General features: G+C 38.0%; 1 long non-coding RNA gene across 1 annotated transcript in view, besides 1 other annotated feature; it reads right to left on the reverse strand.

The window, feature by feature from the left end:
- Positions 1-21,522, reverse strand: part of LINC00536 (long intergenic non-protein coding RNA 536) — a 374,549-nt gene that overhangs the window by 279,152 nt on the left and 73,875 nt on the right. The window lies entirely within an intron of this gene.
- Positions 1,636-2,162: an enhancer, noted in NCBI's record as "NANOG hESC enhancer chr8:117243536-117244062 (GRCh37/hg19 assembly coordinates)". NCBI's record gives its function as "activates a minimal SCP1, AML or CMV promoter by ChIP-STARR-seq in naive H9 embryonic stem cells {active_cell/tissue: H9 hESC(naive)}" and the evidence as "EXISTENCE:reporter gene assay evidence [ECO:0000049][PMID:30033119]".

A 21,522-nucleotide genomic window follows, 5' to 3' on the forward strand; every position in this document is an offset into this window, starting at 1 on the left:
TCATATGCCAGCTGGGCTTCAGAGAGGGAGGGAGATGTCATGCTATAGCACAAATAGTTTATTTTTTATATGAGAAGATCTAATGTCTCATCTTCACTTCATGCTATTTTTTTCTGAGACACCCCTAAAAAGCAACTCATCTTTATGACCATTTACTGCAACTTCCTAAAATCTTGCTTCTGGGATTTTTAAGTAGAACAACCAAGTTGAAGAGTTCTATTTCAAAAGGTTTTCAAGTACTTATATAAGCTGAGATGGAAAGGTTTGATTTGATAGTCACTGGGAATAATTTGGGGGAAGAAATACATGACTCAACTCAGGATATGCCCCAGGACTGCATCACTCTTTGAGCTTTCTGCAACAGATGGATGCCTTTCTGCTCTGAGGCCTCAGAACCATCCAACAAGGCCTCGACAATAATAGCCAGGCAAAACTTTATCAAAGGGAGAAACAAAAAGGCCTGACAGATGATGCTGCCAGCATTGCAGCAGCCCAGGTTACCTTTGTTCTAATGCCATTCTGTCAGGTTTAACAAGCAGATATTAAGAGAAGTTTATAGAGAATAGAGATGAAAGGTTGTCGGTAGAGATGAGAGCTGCCAGTGGGCACCGAGATTCACAGCTGGGTGTAGACTCTGCCGCAACTGGCTGAGAGAAAAAGAGGTTTGATATGGGAGCAGCTGCTTCCAACCCCTGCTAGAAGCAAGTCTTAATCATCTGGCACCCAAGAGTCTGGAGCTCCACCTGGAGAGAGACACAGCAAATGGGAGGATGCTGGGTGTGAACCTCATCATTAGATTAGAAACAACTGATGTATTTGCAGAAATTGGTTCCTTGACTGGTCCTGACCTGGTATGACATCTCACATCCGGAATGTTTTCACTGAAGCATTCAACGACAATGGAAGCAAGAAACAAGGAAGAGGTTCAAAAGGGAGATTAGTGATTTTACTTAATGGATTGAGGGTATGCTTGAGAAAGAAGGGACACTGGAGAATGAAAAAGAAAGGGGCAGTATAGAATGCAGTGACTATGTCCTGGCATGTAGGGCAAGCTGATGAAGCTCTCTTCAATCAATTTTCAATCGTACTAAATTCTTTCTGAGTCCACATTCCTTTCAATCGAGTGCTTTTTGAAATGAGGATGAGTCAAGATGCCTCAGAAGGGCTGTGTGTCATCAAAACACCAAAGGTTAAATTTCAACCTCTAACTTGCCTATTCATTTGTTCCCTCTGTCTGCTAAGTTCCATTTCTGCAAATTAAAATCAAAAAGCAATTATTATGTTATTTGTAAAAACAAAAACAAAACACAACTCCAGTTTAAAAAAAAAAATCACCTCATCTTCTAAATGTGTATCTGTCTCTGTTTTAGCCATGCATCTTTTCCAATGAAGGCTGTTAAGGCCTTCCTTTTTTTTTTTTTTTTTTTTTTTTTCTGAAAAGGAACAGAATTATAAATTGCAGCCATTCCATCCAAAATCATTAGAAGACCCTTACACATATCTGCCAGCAGTGACGCAATTAAATTGCATTGAGTAAGCTCCTTCTAAGTTGAATCACACATATATTTTCTTCGATGAAAGTGAAATTCATATAACTTAAAATCAACCATTTTAAAGTAAACAATTCAGTGGCACTTATTAAATAAATTTACATTTAATAAATGAATTATCTAGTTCCAAAAGGTTTTTAATCATCCCCAAAAGAAACCTCGTACCCATTAAGCAGTTACTCCCAGCCCCTCCTCTGCTACACCCCCATGCCACGCCCAGCCCCTGGCGCCATTGTATTTTAGAACAGTGTTTGTTCACACATTCTTTGTTGTGGTGAAGTATTGCTATTTCCTTTAGAAGACCCCCCAGTCATGTTGAGTTAGAGGTTTTCTCAAGGTCTGACCACAGTTAAGATCTCGGTCTAGAAACAAATGCTCCCAAGGATGAGGTCTCTACCACTTTAGGATTGCATTACATTGTTCAAAGCCACCGCAGCCATGAGCCAAGCTTTCTACAGCCCTTCAAGACAATTGTCGTCATTCCTTTGTGTAGCTAGTGGGTTTTTCTTGGAAGCTAAATGATAAACCTAAAGTTCATTTCATTGAGACCTGTTTGAGATTTCCATTTTACAAGTAAAGAACACAGGTGACCTCTCCGAGTTAAATGCTCTTCCAGCCAACAGATTTAAATCTGCGGACAGATTTAATATCACAAACTTTGAGTTTCCAGCCCACGCCTCCTAGGCTGCTCTGGGACTTCATACACACGCACACTGACTTCCATTATAATCCCCCTATTTTTAGTTACACATAACTTTTAAAGAAGTTTCTCTTGGAAAGTTTGAGGATTTTCAGCAGTTATTTTTGTGATTCCTACCAAGCAAGACCTAGCTTTTTCCACCTCAGAAATGCCAGGTTTTTTTTTTCTTTTTACGTCTGACTCAAGCAGCTGAATTGTAACATGTCCTAATTCCTTCTCATGTGGTTCTTCTTCATTCAAGACGAGCAGTTTTATTGAATCCAAAAGAAAAAAAAAAATCTCATTTAAAAATAATTTCCTCCCATGTACAGAAAAAAAAATTGTCTAATAAGGTTCATTTACATTGTTACCTGAGGCCACAGAGAGTTGTGCAAAGCACATTTCATAATTCCTCCAGGCTGTTAGTACGTGTATTTTCCCTATAAGTAGAGAGGAGAGAAGTTTCAAAGAGATCAGGATGCCAAAAGAAAAAAAAAAACTATAAAAATGTTCATACTGATGCAATAGGGAGTTTTTCTCTGCCCTCTGTATTTGGATTTCTATTTTTAAAACTAGATTAAAAAAAAACTGCGGCTGCAAACATCATGAAGTATAATGGTACCGATAAGGCTTAATGTACACTGAAATAGCCTAGGTATGTGGATTCAATGAGGATGTTTAGTTCTGAATTCTCTCCTTTTCTGTTTCTACGTAGACATTATTGATTTCACTCTTGAAAAGGGATTTCAAAGAATATTCTCTCCAGTGATGAAGAGAGCGTCTCTGATGCTATGGTTAAGTGAAGGTTCAATCATTTGTCAATTATTTTTAGCACTTACTCTATTCTTTCTTTTGATTCTCAAAAACACTTTTGAAATGTAGAGAAGTTATACCTAGTCTATTCCAAACTAGAAAACACCCTCAACAATTCAATAATCACAAAAAGGGATTATTCCTTCAGTTTATTGATTGATTGAATCAAGACCATATTGAAGACCTGGTAGATTTATGGAACTGTAAGACTGGTTATTTCACTTGTATAAAGGGGAGTATATTAAAAGCTCAACACTGAAACATCTGTGCCTACATATACATATATGAGGACTGATGTTTCTTTAACAGAGCCACTGCATGTACCATAGCTCTGACCTGAACTCTTATACATGTGTCTCAGTGACCAATCTACTCACTAACCTATCATTCGCTTGTTGGTAGACCTGTACTAAATTTGTATACCAAAGGAAATATTCTTGTTAGCATTAATGAGAAAGAAGAGACAAATGCAGTGCAGGGAGACCTATTGAGTATGAAGTCGAGTATTAAATCTCTTTGCAATGTATAGTTCACGAACTGCAATGCCTACATTAACTCACATGATTCACATAGTAATCCTAGGGAGGTCACAGGTAAGCATTATTATTTTCAGTCTTTCTCAATGACTGCTCCTAGTCCTCCCAACCTTATTCACAGAGCTGGTGGTACTTGAACCCAAAACCGAATGTCAATATTTACGTTCTTAACCTACATCCTTACCCTCCACATTTAAAATAAAGTATCAAGTCCCTCCTTCCATTCATGCCATAAACATGTATTAAGAAGCCATAAGTATTCTTATCATTGTGCTAGGAAATGTGATTCCAAGAAAGGCAAGAAAGACACAATCCCTTAACTCAATGCTAAGGAGTCAAGTGCACAAAAACCCAGAAAAGAGCATCATAGTTACCACAAAAGAAGCCCAAAATGCAGTGGTGATTCAGAGAAGGAAAAACAACAACTATTCATAGAAGATCTTGGGGGAAACTGAATTTTAGCTGGATCTTCAGGGCAAGGAAATATCAGAGGAGAAAGGCACCGTAATAGAAAAGTCTAGAGAAAAATCAAGGTCAGTGTAGGATGCATTTCAGCTGGTGGAAGCATTCTCTGCCATGAGTGTCTTGCTCACTGTCAAGCTCTAGCTCCTCTTTCTAACAGTCTTATTTCTCCTGAAGCAGAGCAAGGTCATATTGTCTCAAAATCAACCTTCTGAAGTTCCTGTGCCTTTTAAAAATTAGTGTGTTTCTCACAAAACTGACTGTTCACAGTTGGAGCTTTGGTGTTTTCTTGGCCTATTTAACAAATGTGTGTGTGTGTGTTTGTGTGTATAAAGTAGGGATTCCAGGCACATTCATGTTGTTAACTGATAGTAAACACATTAAATGTGCCAGATACATACGGAGACTTGGCAGGGCAAAGACAGAGACAAGATTATGTTTTCTCCATGTGAGGCAGAATAGGGACAATACTGCCTGTCTATTCTACAAACAGTTTTGGCAGTGGATGAGCCACCTTTAAGAATGTATACCATGGGATGAGAGTAAATTTATAACTAGGAAACTGCAGAGTGGTGTGGTGGCCGCCATATTGAAGCATTACTGACACACCTGCTTTAATATGCCAGGTACTGATCCTGGGATATAAGGGAGAGCAGATCTGGGAGCCTTTATGCAGATCCTTGAGTTGGAAGTGTGACTTGAAAGTGAGGTAGATTTCCAAAACCTGGTAGGTCTTGCAGCATGAGGAAAGAAGCACACAGAGACACACATAGACCCAAGCGAACATTTCCAAGTCCTCAGTGGAAGTGAAGATCAGTCCCAAGAAGAGGATATAGGTGGCCCCAAAAATACAGCTACAAAGTTTGGTTTGTCTTTGCTGTTGTTCATTCAATCATTCTTTTTTTCTTTTTTCATCCTTTCTTTCTTCTTACTTTTCTTCCTTATTTTCTTTTTTTGGATATCATTTTTGTTCACAAAGATAGCCATGTAAAGTCACTGAAAATGAAGTGGGTTTTTTTTTTTCAAATAAAAATTCAATTGCAAATACAAAGCATATATTTTAACTTAAAGAATTTTTTGGGAACTTTCTGTCTTCCACCTTGCCACCAAAAAGCAAGCTTTTTTTGCACAGCATGTTTTTTCAGGATACAGTTTGATAACATTTCATTAAAATACAGAAAACTGTTTCCAATTAACCTGAAAATCAACATCTCATTGTTATCAAGGTGAGCTAAGGACATAGAACTTATACCAGCCAACAGGCCAGTTTTCCTGCTAAAGCAGGGAACTGACTTGAGAGGTACAAAACATAGGGTTTTCACTGCAAGTTTTCAGATTGAAGACTAACCATTGCTGGCTGCTCCTCCTCCACACCCACTATGAAGTAGAGCACGTAAATTCACATGGGCTGAGTCCCAGGAAAATCATAACAGAAGAGTCATTTAGCAAGAAGGTAGTCAGTGTTCATGACCCCAGTGCCTCAATTACCACATCCAGAGAGAGAAAGAGCAAGGAAGAATGTTATAGGATCATTCAATCATTCACCACATTCTGTGTGGTGATAGCCCAGGATGAAGAATATTGACATTGGAGAGTCCCTGAGCCAACATGAAATTTGACTAGAAATAGCTGAAATTATTATTTTGATAAACAGCATTTCTAAATGTTATAATTGGAAAGGAATGAGCTATTTTAGATTCTGTTTGGATGTGTACCCCAATTATGGTCATCATGTTTAATATGATGGTAAGGGGTGGAGAGGCACCCAAATCTTTGAAAAGTGTTTTTTAAAAATAGGAAACATATGATTTTCTTGACTCATCTCTATTTTTAAACCCCAAAGTACACATTACCCATTTGCTGCAAAGATGAATCACTGTGGACATTTCATTTTCAATGAAATTTCATATATCTGAAGACCAGGATCGGTTCATCAGCAGAGATAGCAGGGTGGTCACAGCAAAATAATTATCCCCAAGTATTCATTGTAATGTGCTCTGGTGAAACTAAATCTACTCATAAAACTTAAAGGAGGTTACCAAGAGTCTTTGGGAAAGAGAGATGAAAAAAAAGCAACAGGGAAAAAAATAAATGAAAAGGGAAAATAAGCAGTCTAGTCATCATCAAGGGCATTGAGAACATACTCACTACTCAGTATGGCTTTGTTGCCAGAAAGAGCTGGATTCAAACTCTGGCCCTGGGACCTAATAGATGTGTGACCTTCGGCAAATAACTTCCTCTCACTGAGCTTCAGTTTCCCCACCTGTTACATGGGGCTATTATATTAGCATATAGATTTCATGAGGGTTGTGTGAGACCACATTAGAACATAAGCCCATATCTTTCAACCCATAAAACACACAGCCCCATGGGATAGATGATATTATTACCCCCATTTCATAGGTGAGGAAACTGAGGCACTGAGAGATTGAGTTACCCAAGACCACACTAAGCAGAGAAGCCAGGATTTGAACACAGTCTCTTGAGTGCCATATAGTAGTAGACACTTGATAAATATTTATGGAATGAATTGATGAAATGACACATGCAAAGCACTTACAAATATTCAGTCACAAGGTTGGCACACAGCAAATATTAGTTGCCTTTCCTTTTTCCTTTTGCCTTCACATTTGGGAGAACAGAAGGTATACAACAAAACATAGTTTCTGCCTCAGATATATGCCATCTTCTTGAGGAAATATGAATAATTATGACAATTAGAAAATTATATGAATGTGTATTTAAAACTAAATTGTTTGACATAGGCCAGTGGTCCCAAGTGAGGCCATTTTACTGTTCCAGAACATTTGCTAATGTCTGAAGACATTTTTTGTTTTTTTTTTAGATGGAGTCTCGCTTTGTCATCCAGGCTGGAGTGCAATGGCGTGATCTCGGCTCACTGCAACCTCTGCCTCTTGGGTTCAAGTGATTCTCCTGCCTCAGCCTCCTGAGTAGCTGGGATTACAGGCATGCGCCACCATGCCCGACTAAATTTTGTATTTTTAGTGGAGACGGGGTTTCATCATGTTGGTCAGGCTGGTCTCAAACCCCTGACCTCGTGATCTGCCCACCTCAGCCTCCCAAACTGCTGGGATTACAGGCATGAGCCACTGCCCCCAGCCCTGAAGACATGTTTAATTATCACAGCTAAGGGTATATGTGCTACTGGCATTAGGAGGTGGAAGACAGAGATACAGCTAAATATCGTACAATACATAGAACAATCCCCACAATAAAGAATTCCAGCCCAGATACCATCAGTGCTGAAATTGCTGAGGTTAAGAAACTCTGGCCTAGGCTATAAGAACTACAGTAGTTCTAAGGTGAGAGAGAAGAGTCAGAGATGACTTTGCTAATACGGCAAGATTTTTTAGGGTAATACATTTAAATAGATGTAAATTGGCATGCTGGAGGAGGAAGTAAAGCCTTCATCACCACTCAGCAGTGTTTCTATGCACCAGAAAATATCTGTACATAATACATCCCCATATACATAAAAACCAGGGTCAGTGGATTAATCTGAGCATTAGTAATACATCAGAAAAGTTTGACCTATGTTCACACTTAGGAAACCAGTGTTCAAGACCCATAATTATTGACATCACAACGAATGGGCAACACTTCTGTAAACCCAATTAATAAGAAGATATTTCCTTTGCTGTTCTTTTATTCACAAGTTTGAGAAGAGGCTCAGCTGGGAACATTGCAGATACTCATACATGTTTCTTCTCCACCCGCCATCCAGGATTGCTTAGCAAGGGCCCCAGATGGGCTCTAAGATTCAGGTATCCCAGATCACGTGTAATGGGTAGATAAGACTGATCACAGCATCTTCCCTTGCCATTAATCTCTTTGTGTATGTTCATGAAGATCTTCTTCAAAGAGAACATGTCCTAAAGGAGGCAGACCCAACCATCTTGGTCCAGAAACAAAGCCTCAGTCGTTGAAGGCAATGGTGAATGCTAACATCCACAGTATCTTGCTACCAAATCCAGCCAAACCAAATCCTATGAACTCACACCATCTTAGGAAGGGGATATCAAATACAGTACAACCTTGAGGGTCACGTACCTGGATTCATATTCCAGTTTTACCACTTATTAGGTTATTAGCCCTGTAAACTTGGACAAGTTACTTACCCTTTCTGATACTTCATCTGTGAAATAGGGTTAATAATACATAATAATACCATGTAGTGTCATTTGAATTAAATGAATTAATTGATATAAAGCACTAATTCACAGTGCTTGACACATAATAAGTACCCAGTAAAGCCCAGCTAATTATTCTGGTTTAGAAGAGAGAGGCATAATAAAGATTAAATTATCTGTTATACTAAAATGTATGGAAAATATTTCAGCCTAAGCTATACTGTTTGAGCTTTCCTCCAACAGAAAGTAACAAAAATGATAGTAGCTATTTCTTGCTTATTTCACCACTTCTTATCTTTGGTCAATTTGGAGTGTCTCAGTATCCACAAGGAGACTTCCTTGTAAGCTGGTGTACTACAACCTGGGAGCACTTCTAGCAGTTCTTGAGGGCTGCTTTCTCAGTACTAAAGCTTCCTGATGAATGAATGAATACAAGAGGGCAGTGCTGCTAATATACTATTAATATGATCTTATATTCACATGTTATTCACAGGAAACTCAGGTTATAAATGTGATGCATAGAGCCAAGTTTTTTCCAAACCTACAAATACTAAATGACTTCCCCAAATTCACCCTAAAATAAGTGATAAGCCGAGATTCCAATTCTCCTGAGCATAGTCTTTCCACTGTTCTATCCCATCCAGTTGACCACAGACCATTTTTCGAGAAGTGCTTCATTGCTCTGATTATCTGTATTCCCTCATTTACTAGAATAAAAATGAGTTAATCATTGTTGCATTCCCGAGCACTAACTGAGTAGAAACCACATCAAAAGTAACCAAACGTATTGAGCAAGATATTTTGGTTACCTGTGACAGGAACCCAACTCAAATGGGCTCAAGCATAACAAGGAATATATTGATTTATAAATGTGAAAATCCCAAACACTGAGCTTGCTTCAGAAAGCACAGAGGGATTCATGCTCCAATCATGAAATCAGTATTCTGCCTCTCGCCATTGCTAATTTCTACTTTCCTGTATATCAGCATCCTTCTCAGTTAAGCATTTGCCAAGGGGTGCAAAGATGACCACCCACACCAGGCTTCCAACCAGCCAGCTTAGCACCCCAAGAGAGAGAAAGTATGTTCCTCGCAGTGGTTCTAGGAAAAGTCCCGAGACCGGGTCTTACAGGTCTAGATTGAGTCATGCACCCATCATTGAACACTTACTGGGGTCAGGGGCATGTGGTTCTGATTGGCCCAGCTTGAGTCATATCCCACTTCTATAGTGAGAGGGGGAGACAGGAGGCCACAGGCACTAGGAATACCAACAAAGAAATGCTGGCTGTTTCCTACACTTGTGCTGGTATCAAAAGAATCTATGCTGGTCGGTCAACCAGATATCATTTACCCTAATGAGCCATACTAAGCAGAGCATGATTTATTCCAAGATATGTCAGGAAAGATGAGAAACAAAAATCCAGCATCATTCTTTATAATCCCATACCATGATGATAAATTAATCATACTGATGAGTAGGCCCCTTTCTTTACCTAGCTAATGCCTATGAATTCTTTGGCTCTCAACTCAGCTGTCAGCTCCTCTGACAGGTCTTCTCTAACCCCAACTCTCCCACAGACTGTGTGAGGAGCCCATATGGTAACTTGTGCTTTCTCATTCAACACATTGTAACACTATGAACTCTCTATTTATGTCATTCATGCTACTCTTTGAGAGAAGGGCTGTGGATTTTATGACATAGCTCTAGTACCTGCCATAATTTCAATACATTTTATATTTTTTAAAAAAGAAGGCCAGGTATAGTGGCTCACATCTGTAATCCCAGCACTTTGGGAGGCCAAGGTGGGCAGATCACAAGGTCAACAGATCGAGACCATCCTAGCCAACATGGTGAAACCCTGTCTCTACTAAAAATACAAAAATTAGCTGGGTGTGGTGGCGTTTGCCTGTAATCCCAGCTACTCAGGAGGCTGAGGCAGGCGAATCGCTTGAACCCGAGAGGCGGAGGTTGCAGTGAGCCGAGATTGTGCCATTGCACTCCAGCCTGGTGACAGGTGACAGAGCAAGACTCCATCTCAAAAAATAAAATAAAATAAAGAAAAGAAAAGAAACAAACATTAATTAAAGTTACAATTCACTGTGCTATGACTTTAGTTCTGCTCATTTTATTGGGAATATCATTTTTCAAAGCACAAGTATCCAATGAAAATGTAACCTTGTAAACATATTTTATCCCACTTTGTAAGTTTACTCAACACAGCCTGTAACCAGTGTATAGTCAATGGCATACTCTGGTCTGAAAACTTCTGCAAATATTTGATAAATATGAATAATGTGAATGGCCAAGGGTCAAACACAGCATAAATATCATAGCAGAGTTTCAGGAAGGCCCCTCCACCATGAGAAATATTTAACTAAAGGCTGGGAAAATCATAAGTCTCAATGCTTTAAAAGAGTTTCAAACATTAAAAGAAGTAGTTTTATATGCAGTGAACTCTGAGTTCCCTTCCAATTCTGATACTCTCATTCTTTGTTTTCAGATCTTATTTGGATGAAATTTGGATAGGTTTGGAATTTCACACATTCTAAAGAAACGAATCTTGCCCCATTGGAAAGAATGTCATATTCAGATTTATCTCCATTCCATCATGCCAAACCTTGGTTTAAGAGAACTGGAAACCCTGATCACCATCCACTAAACACTGGGTAAGATGGAAAGATCTGTTATTGACACCCAGCAGAGAGTTTCTGCCCTCTTGTTTGAGTCTCATTTAAAACTTTGATATATGTCATGGGTTTGTCTAAAATATTCCTGCCTGTTATTTGTACTTTTGGGTATTTATATGCAATAAATATCCTTAAATATGAAAAAATAGCTAGTGTGTGAACAAGAACTACTAAGACAGATGGCCCTACAGCAAACACATTTGGCCTGTTGCAACACATAATTTCATCTTTAAGAAACTGCTATATAACTCACAAGATGGATTCAGCTGTAATAAAATCCAGATAAGTTGGAAGGCATTGGCAGTGATGGATGACAGAATGATTGTTCACTTATTCAACATATGACATTTGCACTCATAGATTTATCTTCCATTTGAGGAAGGTAATGACAGTTCTATCACCATGTTTATCATTTACTTGCCTCAATTATCTCCCACATACAGGTCCACTCCCTTGCTGCTAGGTGTGTAAGATGTTATCATTCTGTATGCAAGGTGTGTTGGACATGCTCCACAAGCTGTACATGAAAGGGAAAGCAAGTATAGTAACTTGTTTCTGGCACAAAATCTTAAAGTTGATATTGTATACAATTAGTCTACCGTTGGTGTTTATTATGGATATGAATTTGGATGTAACATAAAGCTTTGAGATTGAGGTGAATGGATGAAAGATAGAACGCCTTTATAAGACTCACAGGGATCCATGTGGTGCCTGTGGATCTTGCCATTAATTGCATTATAGGAAAAAATAAATTTTATTGTTTGGCCTAAAAGGCAAATTGTGTATAATGTCTTGCCATATAGTTTCCAGCAGATGACCATGTTTTGGCATGGGAAAAGTTGAATAACTTGTGATGTTTGACTGCAGTTAGAACAAGGTTCAGTGTCTATGTAGTGGGGAGGGAAATTGTATCTGGCCAGAAACTGTGACATTCAAAGTGCACACAGTTAGTGAGGTTAAAGATTAGATTTCTCATATCCAGTTTTTCACAAAGTTGGAACTTATCTCTTAGGAGAAAACAAACTCTATATAGGAGTCTCCTGTAGGATAGGAAGTGTGGTACCAGGGCTCTGAAAGAATATATATCTATCAAAACAATCAGTACATACGTATCAACTACATATGTGCTCATCAATTAGGTACACACAGGAGGAAGTTTTAAAGAAGAAAATACACATAGACAAACTTGGATAAGGTAGCCTTTATGGGTCAGAAGGAAGATGCAAAATTTAAGCAAATCTGTTTTCTATTCATGGAGCTGTTTGTTAACAATCCCCTCCTCAGATTACTAAAAACAAAGAAATATTTTGATAAAAATCTATGGAGAGAAATCATCAGCCAAGCACTTTGTTCAGAGTGCTTCTATGTGCCAGACATGGGAAATATATAAAGATGAGTGAGACATTGTTCTTTCCCTAAAATGAGCTCACATATAGAGAAGGTAAAATACTCTAACATTGTAAGTTGATTTGACAATGCTAGGCATTGTTATCTAAAGATCACATACAAGGAATCAGGATTCAGAATGGCTTTGAATTTGTAAATAGCAACACCAGAAAGAAGGCATGGAAATCCCCAAATGATGGTGAATGGTAGTCTCAGAGTCAGTGGCTGCATTTGATTTCTACAAAGCATCCTGTCCAGACTGCAGTGGGATGAAGCTCTTGGCTCAGGCTCCTCAGTTCTTCTCAAAGTATAGTGCATGAACTGACATCAGAATCACCAGGGGACTGTTTACAAAAGCAAATTCTCCAGGACCATCTCAAAACACCTGAATCTTTGGGATTGGGGCCAAGGAATCTGTCGTGATGAGCCCTTCAAGTATTCTGATGAAGGTACCAACTTGAGAACTACTGCTTCAGGTCATTCTTCTTCAGGGAGATACAATTGTCAGTTTCTGATGCATGTGAATGTCTTATGAAGATAATTAGATAACTGCCAAAGAGGCTATGGATGAATTAGTAATAAGTACATACAAAGAATACTAAGAAAGGAAATTATTAAATCTAGCGAAGACAAAATGTTATATAAAATGGTTAAGTAAACATAATTTACTATATGATTCAAGAATGAATCACGTACATAGTAATAACCATGTAAATACTAAATATTGATCTAACTAAAATTACAATGTACCTATTCTGGGAGGTTGAGTGAGTGACAGGAAGAGTGTTTATGTGGTGGGAGTTAGGAGTGTCTGGGGAGATGGGGAATCTCTGTCTTTCACAATAGAAAGTTACTAGATAGTACCTGAAACTGAAAATCAATTAAGAGCAATTTATATCTATATTATTTAGGGATTTGGAAGTTAATACTAGAAGAATCAGCTAAAGGAGTTGAAAATGATTGGCTCTCAGACAAGGGAATGGGGAAAACATTTTTTTCTTCGTAAATCATGCAGAATGAGTTGACTCTATACTTTGAACATGCGTTATTTGGATAGAGTTAACTCTATACTTTGAACATATGTAATTTGGATAAAAAACAAAGTCCAAAATAAACGAATAAGAAAACATTCTCTCTCCTCTTTGAAGACATTCTGCTCATTCTTTGATAGTTATTCTCTCCTCTTAACTTTTAGAGTCCTTACTACCTAGTCCAGGAGTCAGTAAGTTATAAACCTTCCCACCTATTTTTATAAATAAAATGTTATTAGAATTCAGCCATGCTTATTCATTTACATATCGTCTAAGGCTGCTTTTGTGCTACAATAGCAAAGCTGAGTAGTTGGGATAGAGATCATGTGGCCTGCAAAGCCTAAAATGCTTACAATCTGGTTTTTTATAGAAAAAGTTTGCCAACCTCTGATCTAGTCTACCCATTTGGCACCTAAAACAATACTTTGTATTTTTGCATTTTGTCTTTCCTACTGGATCTCATTCAAATCATCTAACAACCATGCTAGTTAGGTAATTTCAGGTTACCAGTGAAATATAGGCTCAGAAAAACAGGAAAACTGACCAAAGTCCAAAGAGTGGTAGAGCTCAAAAGAGGTCTGTCTGAATCTAAATATATTTTGCATGAACATTGTGGCGGATGCCTAATAAGCATTTCATGTTAGTATATTTTGTCTTTTGTAGATGTAAGCTCTGTTTAGGTCAAGAACAATGTCTTAATCATCTGCATCTCCCCTGCGCCTGAAACACAGGAATCACTCAGAGAAAGTTCTTGATTGACGATAATAAACACGAAGGCAAAAGGATGACTCCTAATTCTCACAGCAAATTTCATGTATTTGAAGCAACACTTGTGATACTGACTGTTATATTTTTAGAGGGCTAAAATATGCCCTGAGCTGCTTTTTAGTTGAAGCTTTCTGAATAAATAAAGCACAATTGTTTGGAAGAGGTCACACATTAAGGAATCAATGATGCCCATTCATCCTCTTGTGGTAAAGCTCAGGTTTCCTGTTTTGCAATTGTTTCAATCTAGACTGGAAGCTCTCAGAGGCAGAGATTTCACATTTATATGCCCAGGAATTCATCTGGGCACCTGTGTTGTTTCATTCCATGACTAATAGCTAAAAATAAATGAGTAATAACGCATTGTTAGGGTAAGGTTTGCTTCATGCCCCGAAATGTATTCTGAAAACACTGATCATAAACTTCTTTTAACCAACTGAGTGTTCCAAAAGCAAAAATCTAGTGAAAATTACTCAAAAAAAAAAATGACATCGTTTTGGTTGGAGAGTTTCTTATGACGGATACACAACTAGCTATGTACACTGTTAACACTGACTTGTGTAAAAGCAATGCTGTTTTTCTTTAGAGTGAATAAAATTATTGAAAAGAAGAATTCATAGCTTGGAAAGAAGAATGAAGTTCATCTATTCTCATCATCTATTCCCATTATACCATGTCCTAATTGTTATTCAGCCTGTACTTGAATACCCTGTAGAAAGAGAAATCCCCTATCTGCAAGGGGGTCAGTATTCACTTCACTTCATTTATTCATTCATTCAGACATTTTTAAAGACCTCTTAGATAGTCAGGCTTCATTTTAAACTCTGTCATAAGAGTTATTTGCTTATGTAAGGGTAAAATCTGAGTCTTTGTAGCTTACATTAGTAAATTTAATGTTTATTTCTCAGAAGCCTACAAGTCTAATCTATCTTCTAATCTACGTGATGGCTCTTCAAGTATTTCGAAGAAATGTCATCTTCCTGGATCATTCTGTCTTTGTTCTAAACATCTCCAGTTCCTGAACCCATTGCTCAGATGAGATGGTTTTAAGTCTTCTCCTCCTCATTCTAGTTTATTTATAACCTTCTGAAAACAGGATCACAAAAGTATTGTTTTATATGTTGTCTGACTAGTTGGAAGGAAAATCTAGGTCCTCTTTTCGCCTTTATCCATTACATTTCTTAATACAAACTTAGTGAACATTCATATTTTGAGTGGTAAAATACAAATGTTTGCTCCTGTTGAGCTAATAATTAAATCTAAGTTCCTTAAATCTTATTCAAGTAGAGTGCTTCTAAACTACATTCCTCCTACTCTGTATTTATGGAGTTGGTTTTAGGGACCTAGTCCCATTATACTTACATGCATTCAATTCATCTTATTATATTTACTCCATTTAATTGTTTAATTTTAAAAATTAGTGAGATTCTGTGCTATAGAGATGAAAGACACAATTTTTGCTCTCCAGGACCTCACAGTCTAGTAAAAAATGGATAAGTTAACAAAGAATTATAAATCAGGATGCTAAGTGCTGTGATTGGTATAAGTAAAAAAGTACATTGACAACATATAGAAAAAGCAGACAAACTTTTGCTGTTGTTTTTATTAGGATCTGTAAGGGAGGGAGATAAAAAGGCAAGAGTATAAAGATTCTGAAGAAGAGATAATATTTGGTACGTTCCTTGAAGGTGAGTAGAAATTAACCAAAGAGCAGATAAAGGCTGAGAACAAATAAAGGACATTCTACAGTGTGCTGTCCAGTATGTTAGCCACTAGCTACAAATGACTATTCAGCATTTGAAATGCAGCCTGTCCAAGTTGAGATGTGCTATAAGTGTAAAATACACACCAGGTTTTAAAGATTTAGTAAGAAAAGCATGTAAAATATCTCATTAATACCTTTTACGTTTGTTACATGTTGAAATAATCATAGTTTGGATATATTTGGAATAAATAAAGTAAATTATTAAAATTAATTCCATCTGTTTCTTTTTACTTTTTTAAAACATGATTACTAGAAAATTTGAAATTACTTATGTGACTCACATTATTTTTCTATTGGACAATGTTGCTTCAGCAAGTAAGAGCAGGCAGAGAGATGAGAAGAATGAAAAATAGTGACAAATTTGGAGAGGCTGGACTTTCCTGATACTAATTCTTGATTCAGTCATCCAATTTAGATACTCAACAACTATTTTGTATAAAAGTATGTATTATAATTTCAAACATATCATTATGGAATATTGTGATATTGCAGAATATTAAGACCTGCCACTGGTTACTTAGTTCAAGGTTGACATCGATCTCTCTTTCATATTATTACAAGTCCACCTAAGTATACTGTTATTCAACCCATATGTCTTTATCGTACCCACAAAAACAGGAATAACTCCAAGTATATGGCATGGCATTCTGGAAAAGGCAATATGAAGGAGACAGTGGTTGCCAGAGGTTGGGGTAAAGGAAAGATGAATATGCAGAGCATAGAGGACGTTTAAGGTAGCGAAACTACTCTTTGTGATACTATAATGGTGGATACCTGTCAATATAGATTTGTCCAAACCCATAGAATGTGTAACACCAAGAGTGAACCCCAATGTGAACTACGGACTTTGGGTGATAATGATGCACCAATATAAGTCTGTATAAATCAATTGTAACAAACATACCACCTTGATGGGGGATGCTGATCATGAGAGGAGCTATGTATGTGTGGGAGGAGGTGGTATGTGGGAACTCTCTGTACCTTCCACTCAATTTTTCTGTGAACCTAAAACTACTTTAAAAGATAATGTCTATGAAAAAAATTAAAATTTAAAATATTTTTTAAAAACAGAAATCACTTCTAAAACCTGCCAGTCTTTCTGACAGATGGTGCCGCAGTGTGTTGCACTGCTCCTCAGAAATCCCTTGGGCGATCAAGGCCTAGGCGTCCACGGTGGTGATCACCTTGGTCAAATACTCTTAGATTGGTTTTCCCTCCTTCTTCACTTCAATCCATTCTCGACTTCATTCTGGAGGATCACTTCCCAAAAGAAACATTGCTCGCAAACCTTTTCTCGGGCTCTGTGTTTTGGAGGAACCTAGGCTAATACCATTGCTACAAGGAGTGCCCTCAAAATTAGACAGTCAGGACGGGATTCAAAAATGATTCCCTTCCTTCGCCAGATGGCAATAAGCCCTTGTTAATTGATGGCAACCCCTGCCGTGTTATAGCATCAACACTGTAAGGTGTTCAATACTATTGAATTGGGTTGAGGAGCACAGGGTAAAATATGGGCCTATGTGGTAGCAATGGCACTGGAATGGTATGGGTCATAATTGAATCCAATCTAAATGTATCTGCCTGGTCTCTAGATGCAAGATTATAATAAATATTCTTAGCACCTGATAGAATCCTTCAGATGGTTTCCTAGCCTCTGGAGTAGAAAAGGCCATGGAGAAACCTATCTATCAGGTAACTCAAAAAGCTTGCAGGGTTGAACATGGCCAAGAGCAAGTGAGGTCTAAACAATTGGACCAGGCTATAGTGCAAGCTGTTCTGCCATTAAAGATATTTGACCCAGCAAACTGATAGTGCTGGAGGTATATATGGATGTTGTGTGGAGTCTCTGACAAATCTTGGTGCATGTATTATACAGACACCAGTGGTTCTGTCACAAGGCCATGCCATCAGCAGTAGGGAATTATTTGCAATTTTAAAAGCAGCTATGGTGGAGACTGAGTACCAGATCATTTGACACTAAGTGACCATACAAATGCAACTGCCCATCATAACCTGAGTGTAATCAGATCTAGGGAATCTTATGTTCAGGTGGGCACAACAGCAGTCTATTTTTTGATGGGATAGGGCTTGAGCAAATCCAGAAGACACAAATAACTATTACACGCCGACTGACTCTCAGGCCACCTAAAGCTTCTCCTTCAGTTTAAACCTATAGTCTCATGGGTGATATTCTAAAACCAGCTAACTCAGGAAGAATAAGAACCTAGACCTGGATCACAATATATTAACATTGAACTAAATTAGACAGCTATTTCACTACAATCCACTCTGGCATGGCCCTGGAGGACAATGATAAAAGGGAATCTACCCAGTGAGCAGAGTTGCGAGCAGTACAGTTGGTCATTCACTTTTTATGGAAGGAAAATAATTTGAGGCACTGGCAAATAGCTTAGTTGATTTGTAAGGGACCTGAAAATAACAAGATTTGATCATCTGTGAGGCAAGGAAATGTGGAGAAGATGCAATGTAAATGAACCTATGTTGGGCACAAAGCATCAAGATATGTTTGTCTTCTGACAATGAGCATGTCCACTGTAAAGAAGGTGCCCATAACCAGGTAGCATAATGACTCAGCCTGCAAATGTCAGATGGCCTCTCTCATTGCCCCCTCCAGTGCTAGTACGATCAGCCCATAAAGAGAATATCCATGGTGGCAAGAATGGAGACTATGCATGGGTCCAACAATCTGTACCAGGATGAATTTAGGTGATTCAATTGATGGATGCCCAACAGCTCAGCAGCTGTACCTTCAATATGGCACCACTTGTCAAGAAGATCAACCAGCCAGTTGATGGAAGTTTGATTACATCAGATCCCTTCTAGTCCAGAGGGGACAGCAATTCATCCTTACTAGAATTTATACCTATTCTGCATATAAGTTTGCCTTCCCTGCAAGCAGCACTTCTGGCAGCACCACCACTTGAGGGCCTATGAAATATTTGATTTAGCAATTCAGAATCTTTCTTAACATATACTCAGGATCTTCTACAACAGATACCAGGCTCATGATCACAGGTCACCACAATATCCAGAAAGAAGGCCGCTCAACAGAATGATAAAATGGCCTATTAAGGTTCAGTGTAGAGGGCCATACAACCTGTGTGTTTGGGATGCTGTCTGATTAAGGTATAATACAGGAAGCAAACCATGAAGCTGTAGGTGGTGCTGCATTCCAGGAGCTACAATGCATGGGCACGAGAACCGAGGAGTGGAAGTAGGAATGCATGCCCTCAACCGTGACTTTATTGGAAGAATTTTGTCTTTATCTCTTCACAACTTTATGTTCTACTGAAATCTAAGTTCCCAGGGGGAAATTCTTCCAACAGGGAGCAAAGCAGGAGTTTCATTTAACCTGATGCTGTGACTGCTGTCTGGTCACTTGGGGCTCCTCATGCAGGTGGGAAAGCTGATAAATAAGGAGTGATCAAATTGGCAAGGTGATTGACCCTAGTCACCATGAGGAGCCAGAGCTTCTGCTATCAATTGGGGCCGAAAGAAGTGTGTTCAGAACCCAGGGAATTCAATGGTATATCCTTATCCAAGGTCACTAATAACCATAAATGGACAATTGCAGCAATGATAAATGAGCTTAAATGGCTGGCACCAGGAGTTACTGGGCCCTCTATTAAATACAACTTAAAATTCTTGATATGTAGGCCACAAATGGAATACTATACAGGTAAGAAAAACAGGAACTAGTTTAGGAAAAGATATGGCTGTTATATTAAGAAAAAGGATGTATTTGAATAGAAAAAAACAAAAACAAAAAGTTAGATGGGAGCAGTCAGTTATCGGTTAAAAAAAAAGATGTGATCTTGGGAAAGTCAACTACAAAAAGATTAAGAAAAAATGTGTTATAGCTATATATGAAACTTAAAGTCCTTAATCCTTCCCGCATCTGGTATTAGCCTTTTTTTTTTGACAGCCAAAAACGTGACTAGGGAATCCATCACTTGTGTGTCTAGAAGGCCCGTGCAAGCTCCAAAATATTTGAGAATTCCAAGGAGGTATAAAGAGAAAGCCAAGAGTTGATATTTCTTTATCCTTTCACTCCAAATTTAGCTCACAACCTAACTCAATCTCCCTTTTCTGCCTTGAGTCCTTTCTTAGCCATCCTCTTTTTTGTACCATATCACACATATTGTAGGTATAACTTTTTCTTTCATTCCTCAAAAGTTTTGCATCATCACAGCACTATTCTGTCATGTATACAAATTTTTACTCAAGCTTTTAAAATATCCAACAGTAAATACAGTACAGCACGGATTAGGGATCAGCCTCTCAAATTTCCCTGGTTACCCAGCAATAAACAAGCAATGGGCATTGGTAGCTATCAAGCACTTAGGGCCCAGCCAGCTGCCATGTTGCTCAGATGTACTGATAAATCAAAGGACACTATTCTAAGATAATGGCCTTCATTAACAGCAAATACTTATGTAGTCTTATAAAAATATCCCTGCTTGCCTTCTTGTACATCTGCCATTGCCATGAGAAAGATATGTCTAGAAAATGAGAAATACGTGAAACAGAATTGACCCAGCTAGGCTCAGTCTAGAGCTGAGACCACACTTGACTTGCAGATGAATAGTAAACTCAGCCTGGATTAGCCTGGATCAGTTGCCACCCAGATGACCCACAGAGATGTGAGCTGTAGTAATAAATACTTAATGTTTTAATCCATGACTTTTATAAGGTGGTTTGTTACACTGTAAGAGCTAACCGATAGAATTGATAGCCTTTTCTCAATGCAAAACCCAAGGCATGTGGCATGACATCACAATTTATCATTGGCAGAACAGAGTGGCCAGTCAAATCATAGGCAAATAGTGAGATTCCGCTGAGAAGAGTATGGTCCTTTACTAAAGAAACTCAGAAAGAAATATTAGAAATAAAGAATATATCCTTGAAATTGATGAGTGAAGTTTTATAATAATTATATTTCTCTTTGATGACAGGCAGAATAGTACAGTGGAATGAGTGGGAAATTTGGGAATCAGATAAATCTGGTTCTACTCCAAATGTATGACTTTGAGAAAGTTATTTGACCTCTTGCTACTTTCATCTATAAAATTAAATTATAAATATATTATAAATATTATAAATTACACACATACATATAATTCTTGAGAGAAATGAATAAGATAAAATACAAAAAACATAAAAACACTTATAGTGTCTAGCATATGACAATTACTCAACAAAGTAATAGAAATAATTATTGTTCTTTGCTCTTAAACTCCAGGCACACTGACACTATAACTGTCTTTTTCATTTAAGATGTCTTTTAAAAAAGGACCCAAGTATGTAACACAAAATATCCACCATTTTACTCATTCTTTTGCAGATTTCAATAGCAGTTTACTTAAGAAATTTGGTTTATGAAAAGTTAAGCTCCTAAAATAAACTATTATTTATCAGTTATATAGGTGAGAGGTTGGTTCAATAAATTTTTCTTGACTAGGCCTGGCTTTGTTTCAAGGGCTGGAAATATAGCAGTAAACAAACAAAGTCATGGAGTTTACATCCTAATTAGGTGTGGGGAAAGACAGCTAATGAAAAAATACATACATAATGAGAGGTGAAGCTGGCTGGGCTTCTAGGTTGAGTGGGGACTTGGAGAACTTTTCTGTCTAGCTAAAGGATTGTAAATGTACCAATCATCACTCTGTGTCTAGC

This window comes from Homo sapiens, chromosome 8 (genome assembly GCF_000001405.40).
Source record: "Homo sapiens chromosome 8, GRCh38.p14 Primary Assembly".
NCBI lineage: Eukaryota > Metazoa > Chordata > Mammalia > Primates > Hominidae > Homo > Homo sapiens.